The following is a 14862-nucleotide window of genomic DNA, read 5'->3' on the forward strand; positions in this document are numbered from 1 at the left end:
TGGAACTCTGCCTGGCGCAGGGCAGGAGCTGGTCAGGATGTGATGAATGAACAAGCGGATGAAGAGGCGAGGGAACAGTGAGTGATTTCAGCACAAAGCAAGCAACCTCAAGGCCTGCTTTTCCTTGAGCTGGAGATGTGCCCTGTACTAAGCAGCAAATATTTTCTAGGAATGACTCATTTTGGACACTCTCCCACGTGCCGGTTCTGATGATTGCTAGAACAACGAGGACGACGACAGCCAACACGCTAGGGCTGTTCTAAGCACTTTGTGTGTGTTATTTCATTTAACCTTCCCAACCACCCCGAGAAGTTACAGATGAGGAAGCTGAAGCACAGGGAGGTTAGGTAAGCAGCTGATAGTCACACAGCTCACAAAAGGCAGAATAGGGCTGTGGACTCAGCGGGCAGTCTGGCTTGAGGGCCTGCACTGCACCAGCCTTATTCCCTCCAGTCCTCAAGTCTTGGAGAGATGAACCTCTGAGGTGTGGCTCTCCTCTACCACTTGAGACTGGGCCACAGACGCTGAATGGGTAAGACAGTAAGACGTAGCCACCTTCTCCTAGGTTCGCAGGTCCCTGGGCCTCAGGCACAAGCAGCCCCCCTTCCTTGCATGCTCCGGCGCTGTCCCAGTTTCTAACTGGCTGCCAGTGCCCTCCCTCCTCTGGCTCTGGTTCTCCCAGGGGCCCAGCCTGATAGCGTCCTTACATCCAGGAACTCCATGTGGCTTCTGGGGCCTAGGCCTCACCTTGCAGATTCCTGGACTCCAGCAGCCCCATACCAATGGCCCTCCTTAGCTCCTAAACCTCAGGCAAAATGCCCTCCACCAAGGGCAGGCCAGGCCCCAGAAGCCTCCACAGAATCAGAAAATATAGGGCAAGCCCAGCCCCTGCCACTTGCACTGGCTGTGTGACCTGGGGCAGGTTGCTCAGCCCATCTAAGCCTCAATCTGCCCCTCTATGAAATAGGATAAATAGCACCTCTTCACAGGGTGGCCGTGAAGATCAATTATGTAACCTTTGTGGTGCTCTGAGACAGTGAGCACTAGGTAAACCACAGTTCTGTGACCATCACTGTCACCATCATCACCTGAGTGTGAAGAATCCCAGGTGACCAACACTCAGCACCAGGGTCTGGGGCCCACTTAAGAGTCCTGGGGTTTTTTCAAGCCCAGTGCAGAAAGACCTGCTCCACTTCTCTGCCTCAGGCCCAGCAGCCCAGCCTTCTCCTCTCTGCCCCCACCAAGCCCCATTCTCAAAGAGCAAGGTATTCCCCAGACCATGTCCTGGGTCAGCACCCTGGGCGGAGGGCAACTCTTACCCACCGGGGCTGTCTGTGAGCCGACGCTGGCCTCTGCCAAGCAGGGACTCCACCAGCTAAGGCACTCATCTGAAACCAATGTCCCCTTTCCCTCTCACCCCTCTCTGGCTGGCTTCTGTCCCAAGAGCAAGGATGCCCTCTCACTAGGTCCCCTGGACCCTCTCTTCACTCCTAGGCTCCCATTCTACCCAGGCTGGCCTCTGCGTCCCTAAGACATGGGAGGCCCACCAACGTCCTGCTTCTAGGACTTGCCTGTGAAATCTCTGGAGTTAAAAAGCTCACCCCTCCCCACTCCTTTCCAGTGGGGGCTGCCCAATAAGCCCAGTTGGGGGCCCAGCAGGCTGGCCCCTCTGAGCTGCCCCACCTGGGACATGCTTCATGAAAATCACACACTCAGAGCAGAGGTGGTCCCAGGGGCCATGGAGGAGATGCCCCCCGCAGAACCCCCATGGGCAGCTCCAAGGGAGGCCCTGTCATCTATGAAGGTACCTCACTGCTCCCTGGGGGCGCTGCAGGGCTGATCTCATGGTGGGGGCTGCCCCTGCCCTCAGGCACCCACCTCCCCATGCAGGCCTGGTGGGGTGGGGCAGAGGCAGATGGGCTCCGGGGTGGCAGCTGGTGGGGGAAATCCCACCTCCTCGGCAGGAAGCAGGTTGCTCAGGCCAGATGGAGCACTGGGGGTCTGTGTGGGGAGTCTGGGCCGTATGCATGTGGACACTTTAAAAAAAAACATTTTTAACTTTTTAAAAATAGTTATATACTTATTTAATGGTTTAAAAGAAAACCTAACTGGCACATCAGACGGCAAATTCACAGACAGGGCTAAGTAAAAAAGTGAATTGTCAGGAAATCTATTTAAATAAAAACAGTAAGCAAATAACACTGTGGGCAGCATACAGAGGTGGCAAACAAATAAAGTCCTGGGTTACTAAGAGGAACCAGGGTGAAGAGTCCAGTCTGGATGCAGTGGGTTGGTGGGCAGCGGCAAATCTCGTCAGGGGCTAAGCTGCAGTAGCAGGCCCCTGAGAGCCCACCTGGGGCTGCAGCCTGGCCCCGGGCCCTGGAGTTGGGGCTGCCGCTTTCCATGCTGGGGTCCTGCTGGGTCCAATGGGGCACCTGCCCCTCTGCCCAGCTCATTGGTGAAGCATCAGATGAGGCGAGGTGGTTCCAGCCCCCTAAACCAGGTGATGAGGGTTCAGCGACCTTCGGAGCCAGGCCCAGGTGAGTGTGTGGATGCCCCAGGCTCCTAAACAGGCTCCCGGTCCCCAGCTGTTCCTTTGGAACAAGCATGCCTGGGCTCCTCCTGGCATAAGTGAATCAGAGCTTTGGAGGAAAGGGCCCCAAATCCACCTGACAGCTCCCCAGGTGCCTCCGAGGCCAAGAGCGGCTGCCGTCCCTAGGGCGTTTCCTGGCTGCTCCCCGACAAAGGCAAGGCCTGGGCTCCAGGCTCCAGATACCCCTGTGGAGCAGCTGACTCTGGGCCAGGGTCACCTGACCCCAGACTGTAGTTCCAGAAGCCCTGGGCCAGCGCAAGAAAACAGTCAGGGGCTCTCAGCCCGAGAACAGCATGTGCTGGGGTCTTTGGTCAGTCTTTCTTTTCCTTGTAATTGGGCCATCTTGTGGCTTTTCTTGAGGCCACAGAATGTTGGGGCCCCTGTGTGTTCTCAGCAGAATGGCGGCTCAGAGTTATGGGGGTCACATGCTGGGCACTGGCTCAGCAGAGGGCTCTGTGAGGAATGTGTCCTTTACCTTCCTCTGCACCAATGCCACCGACAAGACCCAAAGGACAGAGTGGGATGGGAAAGGGACCTGTCCAGTCGGGTGGAGCTGGGCACCCAGAGCCCCACCTTGGGGCTGCCCCGGCTCTGAGCACCCCCGGGAATCATGTCACATACGACAAAGTCCTCAAGGTCAGGGGAGAAGAGGGGGCGTCCTCAGGGGCTTCTGGTGGGATATTTCAACAGAGAAGAAAAGGAAGTCTTTCTGCATCTCTTTGAAAGTCTGATAGAGAAACCGGAATGGGCTGCTGTCCGGGAGAAGGTGGGGACCCATCCCCGCTCCCTACCCCAGGCTGCTCACCGATGTTGGAATGCTTCAGAAGGCGGCAGATCCGAGCCTCTCTCTCCAGCTTCTGGTGATCTGGGGGACAGGAAAAACAAGGCGTCACCTCCTGCGCCAGCAACTGGTGGCCCAGGGATCGTCCATGTCAGGAGAGGCCCACAAGGGTGTGCCAGGGCCTCTGACGAGAGGAGTGGTTGTGCCCCCACCAAGGGAACACCCTTCGTGGCACCCCCTGGGCCACTGGTGGCAAGGCTGGGGCAGGGACCAGCCGGCTTGTGTTTGGGATGGGTGGAGAGGCCCATTCGGGTAGTGAGCGCTGCTAACTCGGGGCTAAAAGTTTCCCTGGATGATTCTAAGTCAGCGGTGCACTGATTTAGTCCTCCACTTATTTGTCCTAATTCCATACTCTTTGGAGCTTTTGGCTGAAGCCAAATTTGTTCTTCCGAGGCAGGGGAGGGGCTGTCAGAATGGGGCCGGGAGGGGGTTGAGGGTGTGCCCCAGAGCCCGGCTGGCAGGAGGAGGAGGGGAAAGCCTCAGAGAGGCCTCGCCTGGGAGATAGGAGTAAACTGGTGGTGAAGCAGGAGGTGGCCCCTCCTGCCCTGGCCGCTCTCCTCCCACCCCACAAGGTGCGGGGCCCAGATCCCCGGACACCGGAGGCGTGGAGGTGACTGGTGCCCCTTGGGTGGCCCCTCCACTGGCCCCCAAAGGATGGAGCAACTTATCTGCCAGAAATTTTACATTTCAAATAGAGGCAGGAGGCTTTTAAAAACTGATGGAGATTGTAATAGCAAAACCCAAAACCCCACACTTCCACTGACAGAGGGAGGACTCCATGCGCTGCAGTCACACAGGGTCCCATACTGCAATGCATCAAAGCCCTCTGCCAACCCCCACGTGCGGGTAGCACCCACATCCGAATAGTGTGGAGGGAACGAGCAGCAAAGGAGGACCCACAGTGTGCTCTTATTTACACAAAGGTCGAAACTAGGCAGTCGGTGGGCACAGCCGCATGTGGGGAGCTGCGAGGAAAGGCCAGTGCATTTCAGAGTTCAGGACGTGACTGGGGAGGGGGCATCAGTGTCTGGAGCCCCCTCTACCTGCCCAGTGCTGAGTCCCACCATGGGAAAGGTGAGCAGGGCCTGGGGGCACATAATTAATACACAAGACAAGACCTCGGGGATGCCTCCTTCGCCAGGAATGCCCAGTAGCACCCAGGAGCAGGGAAAGAATGAGGCTGCAACTTCACAATCATCCTTGGGAAGCATTAAAACCTCTGATCCCCGTGCTTGGCAGAAACTTGTCCACCTGCAGGAAGGGAGGACTGGCTGAGTCATGTCTGGGGTTAATTCCCCTGGAGCAGGTGTGGTGGTGGCAGCCTGGGGGTACAGGATATGCCTGCAAACACGCATATGTCTTGAGTGAGAAAGCCACGCCTACAGATGGGAAGGTCTCTGGGAGCGGCATCCCCTGGCTCCCCCCTCCCAGGACAGGCATTCGTCTCCCTGCCCTGGCCACCTGGCTGCCATCTGCTTCAAGCCCAGCCGCCTGGCATCCCACGAGAGGGATTCAGAGGGATCTGGCAGAGCCTCCAGGTGGCATGGAGGGAGTCAGACCCCATCCCGCTGTTTTGCTGGAAGCCCAGGGCATACCTGCTCCCTCTCCCACCTGCACACCCAACTCAGCAAGCACTGCACGGTCTTCCAGAATACTCCAGTCCCTGCTCCCCCTCCCTCCCCTCTCCCCTCCCACTGAAGTGGGAGCTGAGGTGCCAGGAGCCTCAGGGATTTGTGATGGCGGAACTGGAACCAGCCCAAGTGTCTGTCAGCATCAGAATGGAAAAATCAAACATAGTCACAATAGAATACACATGGTGTGGGCTCCGTTTCCCTATCTGCATGGAGCTCAAAACCCAGCAACACTGGACATACCTGGGGAGGGGAGGGGTCCATGCACAAGGCCTGGCTCCAGTGGAAAGCAGGGCACCAACTCTTGCAACACCCCTGACCCCCATCCCTCTGGGGTGGGAGGAGGGAGGCTCTCAGGGTGCAGGACGGTGAGTTCACGGGGTTATTGTTTTCTTTCCTAGTATCTTTCTTAAACTGATTGTGAACATTTTTCAGACTTAGAGAAAAACTGCAACAACAGTACAGAGCAATCGTGTACAGCACTTCTGTACAATCTCCCTGCCCCGCCCCTGCTTCCATATAACACACTCGCTTCTTCTGACGCGTGTGTAACACCAGGCAGCACTCAGGTGCGTCTCATAAGGAGAGGGTGTCCCTTCCATAATCTCAGTGCAGGTCCCAGATTCAGTAAATCGAATGCAGATATGACACTCATGTCTCTAAGCTACAATCCACGTTCCACCTTTCCAACTTGTCCCAATAAAGTTGATGGCTAATCTTTCCCCAGGACAGGATCCAAGCCCAGGACCACACATCGCCACGGGACGTGTGGGCCAGAGCCAGGCTGAGGGAAAGGAGGACCTAGGAGGGAGATGCGGTGGAACCAGGGCACGTAGTTTCCTTTTGAAAAATTGCCTGATTAGAGTTAAATCAATAAAATCATAAATCCAAATCAGGAGAAAGATGCAATTATGAACGCATTCTCCTGGGACACAGATAATTTATATGCCTGTGTTTCATTACTGAAACATCGCCAAGAGCTGAGCCCCAGCCCAAAAATGATACCTATTCCTGAGCATGTGTTTAGGGAGATAATTATTTGTGTGGGGTAAAGAAAGGGCACCTGGCTGTCCAGTCCTGGCACCAGGTGTCCACTCATGGTGGCCATACAGGTTGCTGACTGGTCCTCTTTCTGTAACACCCACAACAGCACCTCGACCACCTCCTCCCAGCAGCTGCAGTAAGTTAGAGCTCAGAGAGCCGCTTGGAAACCATAAACCATGACACAAGATCTAAGCTGGTAACACACAAACACACACGTCGTATCGAGTGCTTCACTCTCGGTGGCAGGATTATGGCTAATGTTGTTTTATTCGTTAACTTCCCCTCCCCCAGTTTTGACAGTGATCATGCGTTACTTCCATAATTTAGCAAAGCATTGTTTTTAAAAAAGATTTTGATCCTGTCTCCAGTGACCAAGCTACTGATTCAATATGACAAGGATGTTTCATAAAATCTGCTATGGTAGCATTTGCTCTTAAATTTTAAAAATTCGGGCAAAAAATAAATCTAAGCAGATATAATGTGACTCTGGATAGGACTGAGAAGCCACAAGAAGGAGGGGGCACAAGGAAGAGGCGTTCTCTCTCCACCTGGCTCAGACAGCCCCATCTCAGGGCAGGCCAGAATCCAGCTTCCTAACTCTGTGGACATACTATGATTTTCTTTCCACAAAACCAGGGACATTATTCTTGGCTTCCACATTAACACCGTAAACCCCTTGTCATGGACAAGGTTAAGTAAGTTAAATTGAACCCAATCCAGTGCATAAGAAATGTGCCCTGGCCCTAAACAGTACAGCGGAATCTGGAGGAACCTCCAGCTCGGTCTTATTCCCTGCCCCAGACAGTGGAGCAACCATATCTTGCTCATCCCTCCCTGCCAGCCTCATTCTGGGGGGTTCTGGTCCCCAGGGAACCTGCTGAACTCAGGAGACCAGAGCAGTGGCCACTGAGCAGGTCCCGAGGCCAGCAGGCCTGTGGCGAGAACACAGCCGGAAGTCTGCCAACAGCGGCTCCCTACCTGCCCAGGGCCCCATCAATGCCCCCAGGACCCCCGCGGGGCACCCCTTCCTGAAGGAGGTCCCAAGAGGCCTCCTGAGTGGCCAGCCCTGGCTATGCCCACTACGGTGATGTCCTTGTCAGGGCCAGGCAGTGTCACAGAAGTCACAGAAGAGGTGCCACACCTCTGCAGGTTGTGAATCCAATGACAAAGAAACCCCAAGAACCCACCCCATCCAACAGCCGGTGCCTGGTCAACTCCTCAGAAGGTGCTGAATCCCCTCTCCCCGTCGGCCAATGTCAGGCTCAGGCTCAGGCTCACGGCACCTCTACGTGCACACTGGCTCCGGGAACTGCAGTTCCCTGTGATGCTGAGTTTTCCTAAAGGAGTCTAAGAACAACCTCTGAAATAGACCGTGGGACAGAAGGCAGGAGCTGGGGAGTGAGGACGCAGGCTGAGCCCCTCCCGACCTCCAGGGGACCTCACCCCATCAAGAGGAGACCCCTCTGCCCTCTTGCCCTCCCTCTTCTTCTCCCACCCCAAGACCCCTGGCCAAGGTCTTGGGGTTCCAGGGCAGACAGTCCCTGGGGCACAAAAAGCCAATGACAGCAGTGCCTGTGCCCCTTGTTACAGCAGAGTGATGAGCAGAGTGCTCTCAGGCCCTGATTCTGCCTGTGGAGACTCAAGAGGTGATGCTTCAGTGGGGTTTTAGAGGATGAGTAGGAGTTTGCCTACTCATGCTGGAAAAAGACTTGGTTCTCACACCCGCTCTGATGTGAAGCTTGGAGAGGGAACTCATGAGTTCAACCAGCTCCTAAATGCTTGGGCATCTTGCAAATCTGCACCCTAAACGGAGGCAAGGGCGTATGTGTGTGGGCCTGTATTTAAGCCAGAAGGTGACTGGCCCATTCAGTGTGGATGCAATTCTACACATGCGCACACGTGTGTACACATTTACACACCTGCTCCCCAAGGGGGTGGCTAAGAGAGACGCTGGCAAAAGCATTGCTATTTATTTCTTCTACCAGAGAAACATCCCACAGATCAAATACAGCATTCATTTATACCCCCATAAAAGCATTTATCAAAAAACCCCCAAAACAACAACAACAAAAAACCCCATAAACAATTGCCCTCAAAAAGATCAGGCTAAACCGGAGCCTGCAATTATCCGCCTGCCTGCTTAATTCTAATGATAGTGCGACATCCTCAGATTCCAGCCCTCGGGGAATGCCGAGCCCTGGGAGCTTTTCTAGGTGATTTGGCTACAATCTCTGCACAGAGCCCTGGCCTGCCGGCCATTCATCCTGCCAAACCTGCACCTGGGTGTCCCCCGAGGTCCGCACAACAGGTAGGGCCAAGTGCTGAGGCACAGGCAGGCTGGGGGCCACTGAAAGACAGGGAAGAGAAGCACCCCCAGCCGAGCCCTGCACAGCCACGCTGAGCTCATCTTACAGCAGGCTTCTCACCCGCTCCCGCACACATCCCAGGACGCCGAAGACGCCCTGGACTGCGCAGGGCAGGCTGCTGGGCTGGGACCCAAAGCCAAGGCCTCTCGCTGAAGCGCAGGGGCTCTCTGTGATATGCCATTTGGTCTGCCTTCCCTGCTGCTCTCTGAGCTGGTGGGTGGTGCCTGCCTGGTGGCTGCAGCCTCTGCTCAATGCAGAATCTGATATTTACAGCCTGCAGATGCTGGCTGTGGGGGCAGCAAGGCCGACATCACAGAGGAAGGGGAGACAACGCCACGCCAGTACCAGGAGGGGCTCAAGGGCCCAGGTGACAAGGTTCCCCTCCTCCCTCACCCCACAGCCTTCTCCAAAACACTGAGAGCCCAGCTGGTCTGGGTTACCTGCCTGCAGAGGCCCAAACAAAGCAAACCACTCATGCTCATGGGGAAAGACAAGGTCGGGTTATGCTTGCCTAGATGTCCAGCCTCTCAGGAGCAGGGACCACAGGTCCTCCACCAGCAGCCATTCCCAGATCCACAGGACCCCCGAAGCCTTGGCATGGAGCTCTGAGGGATGGGGTAGGGGAGTGGGGGCTCCTCCAAGCTGTTACTGTGCTGGTGGGTTGGCAGCTGGCACCCACCACCATGAAGGTGACAGGGCAGGGGCCACCTCAAGGTGCCCACAGCCAAGTGCAGGAAGAGACAGGACCGGGACATGGGCACAGCCACGTGACCCATCCTGGAGCACCTGCCACATGCCAGGCACCGTCTGTTCTGGGCACATTACAGGCATTAACCTATTTCATTCCAAAAATGCCCGGAAAGACCAGGAGTGGTGGGGGAGAGACTGCAAACCTCTCCTGGTGTGGAGGGAGCTCCTCCCCTCCTGCCACGCCACCCTCATCAGCATGGGAGCTGTAGGGTCCCCTGAGCTAAGAACAAAGAGAAGCCAGCTGAGGGCGATGGAAGAGATGGAGCTGACGGGAAGGACATTCACACCAACCCTGCTGCATCTGCAGGGTGAGGCACAGGGCAAAGATGAGGAAACTGAGGCACAGAGAGGAGCTCAAAGCTGCCAGGGCTGAAAGGGCAAGGCTGGGGGCCTGGTGGGGGCAGGGTAGCCTTCAACATCCCAAAGGCGCACTTGTGCATGGCTCCGGGGACCCCTCGTGTCCCAAGTGGACAGCACCCAGAGGCCATGGTGCGACCAGTGCCCCCCGCGGGGGAAGGAGGGTCTTACAGGACAAGTTAAGGTTACATGGTTTGGTAAATCGTTGATGTTCGCTCCCATAATTTCCTCTTTCTTTCTCCAGAGCCAAGAAGGGGTCCGGGATGGAGCTGGCAGAGGCTTCTCTGCCCACCCAGGCCCCCTATGCCATCCTCCACCCTCCCAGCCCCTCCTCCTCCCTGGCAGTGGGTGACTCACAGCAGGGGGTGGGGGGTGGTGAGTGAGAGGAACCAGGGATAAGGGGAACAGGAGGGCGTGGGTGGGCACCGGGCCCCCCGCCAGCCACCAGGAGAAACAGCAGAGCTGGCACCTCCAGGAGGACACTGCAGGGCACTGGGCGGGGGCGGCGGAGGGGCAGGAGGGGGAGGCACAAGGCCCACCTGTGTCAGGAGGGGCTGCCTCCCCCTCTCGCCCAAGGGCCTCTGGAGTTGTCAGACCCAGAGACCGAGAGGAGGCCCAACGGGTAAGCTCTGTGCTGGCTGGGGGATGCAGCTGGGGCCACCTGGGACCACTGCCACCAGGGTCTGAGGGCTGAGGGGTGGGGCTCCCTAGGTGCCATGAGTCCTGCCCACCACGTGGCCTGGGACAAGGGATGGCACTTCCCTGGGCCTCATCTGGAAGATGGCTGTAATAATGGTATCTGGCCCCAGGACTGTGCTGGACTGAAAATGGAATCGTGTGTGGAAATCCACACGGGCCTGACACAGGGTGGGTGCTCAAGAACGTACCCCCCCCCCATTCCAGGCAGCTCTGCCTCACCCCGAGGGAGGTTGCCAGACCCCCCATGGGCCCATCACTGGGGGCCCCCCACTAGCACCAGCGCTCTCCACCCATTTCCTCATGCCTGGGAGGAGATCCTCAAGGACAATCCCTTCTGCTTGTCCACCACACAGCCCAGCTGGGGAGGGCACTGGGATGGTGCACATGGCAGAAGGGCTCTGCTCCAGCTGCCCTGGCCTGGAAGCAGTGGCTGGGGAGGGATGGGCCAGAAGCTGTGTACTGTGCCAGCGTCTGGTTCCTCAGGGCTGGGGCTACCTGGGGCTCTGCTCCTCCAGGCTAATCCACAGACCAACATCAAGACAGGTGGTCCACCTGTGCGCTGGACTAGGGTGGCAAGGACACCAGACTCAGGGCTCTGACCCAAGCCTGAGGCTGTCTGGCTGAAGGTGCTGTGATGTCAGCGCCATGCTCCAGAACTCAGGCCCTACGCAGGGGCCTGCTATGGGATGTGGCACGCCACCAAGGCCTGGGCCAGGAAACTGGCTGCATCCAAATCCCACTCGGGGGCCTCAGTTTCCTCCCATGAAATGGATTCAGGAGATGCCCTGTCAAGTAGCGCTGTTCCTGTCCAGAGGACACTTTGAGGGCCACAGCACAGAGGGGCCCCCAAAGCCACCCCCCATCCCCACAGAGCTGGGCACACATCTGTCCAATACTCTGGACCTTGGTGGGGTCAGCAGCCCCTCCCTGCACTGTCAGTACATTGGCAAGACCCATCAGCCCCAGGTGACCTGCACACCTGTCTCAGCGACCTGCACCATCACAGGCATGAGAGAACTTTCTAGACTTTTTCTTTTCTTTTCTTTTTTTTGATGGAGTCTCTCTCTGTCACCCAGGCTAGAGTACAGGGGCATGATCTTGGTTCACTGCAAACTCCACCTCCCGGGTTCAAGTGATTCTCCCATGTCAGCCTCTCCAGTAGCTGGGATTACAGGTATGCGCCATCACACCTGGCTAATTTTTGTATTTTTAGTAGAGACAGGGTTTCACCATGTCGGCCAGGCTGGTCTTGAACTCCTGACCTCAGTTGATCCGCCCACCTCAGCCTCCCAAAGTGCTGGGATTACAGGCATGAGCCACCATCTGGCCCTCTAGACTCTTAAACAGCTCGCCAACATCCACATCAAACACCAGCCAGGCACACTCTGCACCCTGCCTGGTACCAACACACTTAACTCAAGCGTCCCAATTCACTTCAAGGCTAAACTTGACTGCGCTCGCACACTAGTGACAGAGTACTTGGGAGCCAAGCGCAGCCCTGTGTGGCACTGAGCAGCTCGGCCAGAACCTGATAGGACATCCTGGGCCTTGACACCAGGCCAGTGGGGTCTGGTCTTTAATTCTGTTTGGCCATGACCTGGCTGGCTCCTACAGACTCTGGTGACAGAAAAGTGGGCATTGGCTGTGGGGTGGGGCAGGCAGAGGCCAGCTCACATCTTGGGGCCAGCACTTGCCAACCTGGGCTGCCAGCAAGTCCCTTGGTAGCACTGACCTTGGATTTATTTGAGACCAGATTGGGCAGCTGGGTGGGGACGAAGGAGTGGCTTCCAGCAGCCCCTCTCCTCTGACTCTCCTCCCTGGCTGGTAAATGTGAAGTAGAACCAGTCCTGACCCCAAAGTCAGCTTGGGCCATGCGGCAGGGACTGCCCATCCAGTCTCAGGGTGCAGGCCGGTTTAGGGGCTGAAAGGAGGCCATGGGCAGGTCCCGGCCATTCCTCCTAAAAGGAAAACTGCTCCTTGAGAATGACCCTATGAGTCCCTTCAGGGTAGTGACTTCTGTGTGCTGAGGACTGGCTCTGGGCAGGCCTGTGAGCTGCTCATGGCACCCATGAAACAGGGCTGTTGCTGCGTCACCCCAGCTTTCAGATGGGGGCATGGGAGCAAGGAGACTGGGTAGAAGTGGAGCTGGACCCCGTCACAGGAGGCCCCACTTGGAGCCTCGGGAGCAGCCCCCTCTTCATTTTCTTTCCGGCGGGACTTCTCGGAGCCCTTCAGATGCTGCCATAGTGGGCTGGACAAGCCTGCTCTCCCTCTGGAGATCTGGGGCGGGGAATTGGGGGGGTGGGCAGCGAGGACTTGGGGAGCCCAGTGGTAGGTCTGAGGCAGGAATAACCCCGGCCCAAGGTCTGGGGGCCAGGTCAGGATCCTCTGAGGGCAGCACAAGTCTACCAGAAAAGGTGAGGTGGTGTCGAAGGGGGTAGGCGGTGGAGGCAGACACCCCTCTCCTCCTGGGCACCCAGCACCTCTTGGGGTCCCAAGTGATCCAGTCAGGCCTGGGCAGCCCCGGGAGGCTGAGCCCTGTGATGAAGATGCAAGAGGGCGGCTCTTGCTGTGGCTTTCTGTGCATGTTTTGTTTTTAAAAGGCAACACGACAACCAGCAATTAACCCGCCAGCAGCTCCACCACCCGCAAGAAGCACCTGTGGACACATCCTGCAGCTGCCTGCTGCCTCAAGGTCAGGGCTCCCAGGGACCCTGGCAACCATGTCGGCAGCACCCTGCCCCTCTGCATGAACATGCATGACGGAGCTGGAGCCGAGGGCCTCGTCACTATTTGCCAGCCATATGGGGATGAACATAGCCATTCTGGGAGCCCAGGCCAGGCCAGTGGCTGCAGTAGGGCCACTTCCAGGCTACACACTGGGGGGTCCACAGCATCTTCCCTCCATGGGGTCCACTTGGCCTTTCAGCTGGGGCCCCATTCCCAGTGCCCTTTTCAGGATCAGAACCATCCTCCAGCTTGCGGGGTGCAGCTCAGCTTTGAAACGGAGGTGTGGCTTGGAATTCCTTCCCTGTCACTGCCATGCTGTGGCATTTTGTGCAGGGCTATGGTTTAAGGCCTAAAGTTAAAGCCAACAACATTACGTGCTACCTTGACACCCAGTGAAACCAGGAAGGCCCTGAACAGCCTAGCTTCATGTCCCCCACCGGACTCTGCTGCTGTGGCTAAGTACCCACCCAGGCAAGCGTCCTCCCCACAAGGACTGGGCACAGCTCCTGCTTATGCCTGAGTAGTGAGATGCAGCTCTCTGCCAACCCATGGAATTATTCAAACCAGCCGAAACTGCCTCTGGTGGGAACCAGGGGCCACCTCACCTCGTTGTTACTCCAAAGCCTGCCTCCCCAGCCCCTGCCTGTTCACTGTGTCCTGAGTGCAGTATCCTCCTCTCTGGGCTCTGAGTATATGTGACAATAAAATGTCATCCACTCATCCATCCAGTGCTGGGTGTCTTGTGTTCAGTCATCCCCGTAACCCCAGGACAGGACTCCCGTGCTCACAAATCGGGTGAGTAGGAGGAGATTTAAACCAAGGTGCCTAGACTCTCCAGTCTAGGAAAACAACGGTGGCCCCCCACAGGGCAGGCACAGTGACAGGAGGGGCTTGCTAGGCCATCCCTCCCAGCCCTGGTGCGATGGGTCCTCCACCTGGGGTCCCCCCACCCCCGACACATACACGTCCCACCAAAGCCCATCTCTCCATAGACACCAGCTTGGCTTCCTCCGGAGACAGCCGGGACACTGGCTCAGGCCAGCCCCTGGGGGTGCAGGACCCACCCTGTCAGGGTCCTACTCTCAAAAATAAGGCCCAGACTCCAGGGCTGCACTCTTGACCACTGTGGCCTTATGTCCAGCCTCATCCTCTGCCCCCAACTCTGTCCATGTCCTTTTTGTCCTTTTCAGAGAGTGGACAGCTGCCCGGAGGTTCCCACTCATCCCTGAGCAGATGCCTGGGGACCCAACCCAGCCCGAGGCCCAAGGCCAGGGAGCACAGCCCGAGGCCAGGGAGCACAGTCCGGGGCAAGCACTGCCACATTTTTTAAGGTATTGAGGAGAAAGAACAGAGAGGACTGTGCAACAGAAGCAAGTGGCCAGCAGTCCCGCACACTGCTATCAGGCCCTTTCCAGAATGCCCCCTACCACCTCCGGATGAGAGCATCTGCACACATCCGCCCTCCCCAGCAGGAGAGGCTGAGGCCCTCACATTCACCCACGGGGCTCTTCTAACCCCCAATAACCTCAATAAACCCTCCATGACCTTCTGTAGGCTAATCACTCCACACCGAGCTGGAGTCGGGGCTCCCCCAGGTGACATGCAGACAATGGAAACATCGTGACCTCAGAGCCGCTGTGCAGACCTGTCACAGGACTGCAGCTTCTGGCCCTGGGGACAGAGGACCGTGGCTGCCCACAGGGGAGACACACAACCAGGGCCCCCAGGACCTTCCAGGGCTCCCTGCAGCTGTTCCCCCTCGAGCTTTGCCCTGGATCTCCAGCTCTCCAGACTTTCCCATCAGCAGCCAGACCAGCACAACAGAGACCAAAGCTCTGCCATTCCCAAGCT

The 14862-nt window shown here is 57.2% G+C and overlaps 1 protein-coding gene across 35 annotated transcripts in view, besides 6 other annotated features; it reads right to left on the reverse strand.

Moving 5' to 3' along the window:
- CAMK2B (calcium/calmodulin dependent protein kinase II beta) overlaps positions 1-14862 on the reverse strand; it is a 108860-nt gene that overhangs the window by 42453 nt on the left and 51545 nt on the right. For all 35 annotated transcript variants that reach the window (XM_011515559.3, NM_172084.3, XM_017012665.2 and 32 more), the window contains exon 3: positions 3399-3458. Coding sequence is in view for 34 of the 35 variants with exons in the window: in NM_172084.3 (NP_742081.1) it covers positions 3399-3458 (60 nt within the window). In the remaining variant the exon portion in view is untranslated. The remainder of the gene's footprint in view (positions 1-3398; positions 3459-14862) is intronic.
- Positions 2554-3053: an enhancer, noted in NCBI's record as "H3K4me1 hESC enhancer chr7:44301759-44302258 (GRCh37/hg19 assembly coordinates)". NCBI's record gives its function as "activates a minimal SCP1, AML or CMV promoter by ChIP-STARR-seq in primed H9 embryonic stem cells {active_cell/tissue: H9 hESC(primed)}" and the evidence as "EXISTENCE:reporter gene assay evidence [ECO:0000049][PMID:30033119]".
- Positions 3452-4283: an enhancer, noted in NCBI's record as "H3K4me1 hESC enhancer chr7:44302657-44303488 (GRCh37/hg19 assembly coordinates)". NCBI's record gives its function as "activates a minimal SCP1, AML or CMV promoter by ChIP-STARR-seq in primed H9 embryonic stem cells {active_cell/tissue: H9 hESC(primed)}" and the evidence as "EXISTENCE:reporter gene assay evidence [ECO:0000049][PMID:30033119]".
- Positions 4284-5115: an enhancer, noted in NCBI's record as "H3K4me1 hESC enhancer chr7:44303489-44304320 (GRCh37/hg19 assembly coordinates)". NCBI's record gives its function as "activates a minimal SCP1, AML or CMV promoter by ChIP-STARR-seq in primed H9 embryonic stem cells {active_cell/tissue: H9 hESC(primed)}" and the evidence as "EXISTENCE:reporter gene assay evidence [ECO:0000049][PMID:30033119]".
- Positions 8002-8503: an enhancer, noted in NCBI's record as "H3K4me1 hESC enhancer chr7:44307207-44307708 (GRCh37/hg19 assembly coordinates)". NCBI's record gives its function as "activates a minimal SCP1, AML or CMV promoter by ChIP-STARR-seq in naive H9 embryonic stem cells {active_cell/tissue: H9 hESC(naive)}" and the evidence as "EXISTENCE:reporter gene assay evidence [ECO:0000049][PMID:30033119]".
- Positions 8504-9003: an enhancer, noted in NCBI's record as "H3K4me1 hESC enhancer chr7:44307709-44308208 (GRCh37/hg19 assembly coordinates)". NCBI's record gives its function as "activates a minimal SCP1, AML or CMV promoter by ChIP-STARR-seq in naive H9 embryonic stem cells {active_cell/tissue: H9 hESC(naive)}" and the evidence as "EXISTENCE:reporter gene assay evidence [ECO:0000049][PMID:30033119]".
- Positions 12461-12961: an enhancer, noted in NCBI's record as "H3K4me1 hESC enhancer chr7:44311666-44312166 (GRCh37/hg19 assembly coordinates)". NCBI's record gives its function as "activates a minimal SCP1, AML or CMV promoter by ChIP-STARR-seq in naive H9 embryonic stem cells {active_cell/tissue: H9 hESC(naive)}" and the evidence as "EXISTENCE:reporter gene assay evidence [ECO:0000049][PMID:30033119]".

The sequence above is a fragment of the Homo sapiens genome, chromosome 7, assembly GCF_000001405.40.
Source record: "Homo sapiens chromosome 7, GRCh38.p14 Primary Assembly".
Classification (NCBI taxonomy): domain Eukaryota; kingdom Metazoa; phylum Chordata; class Mammalia; order Primates; family Hominidae; genus Homo; species Homo sapiens.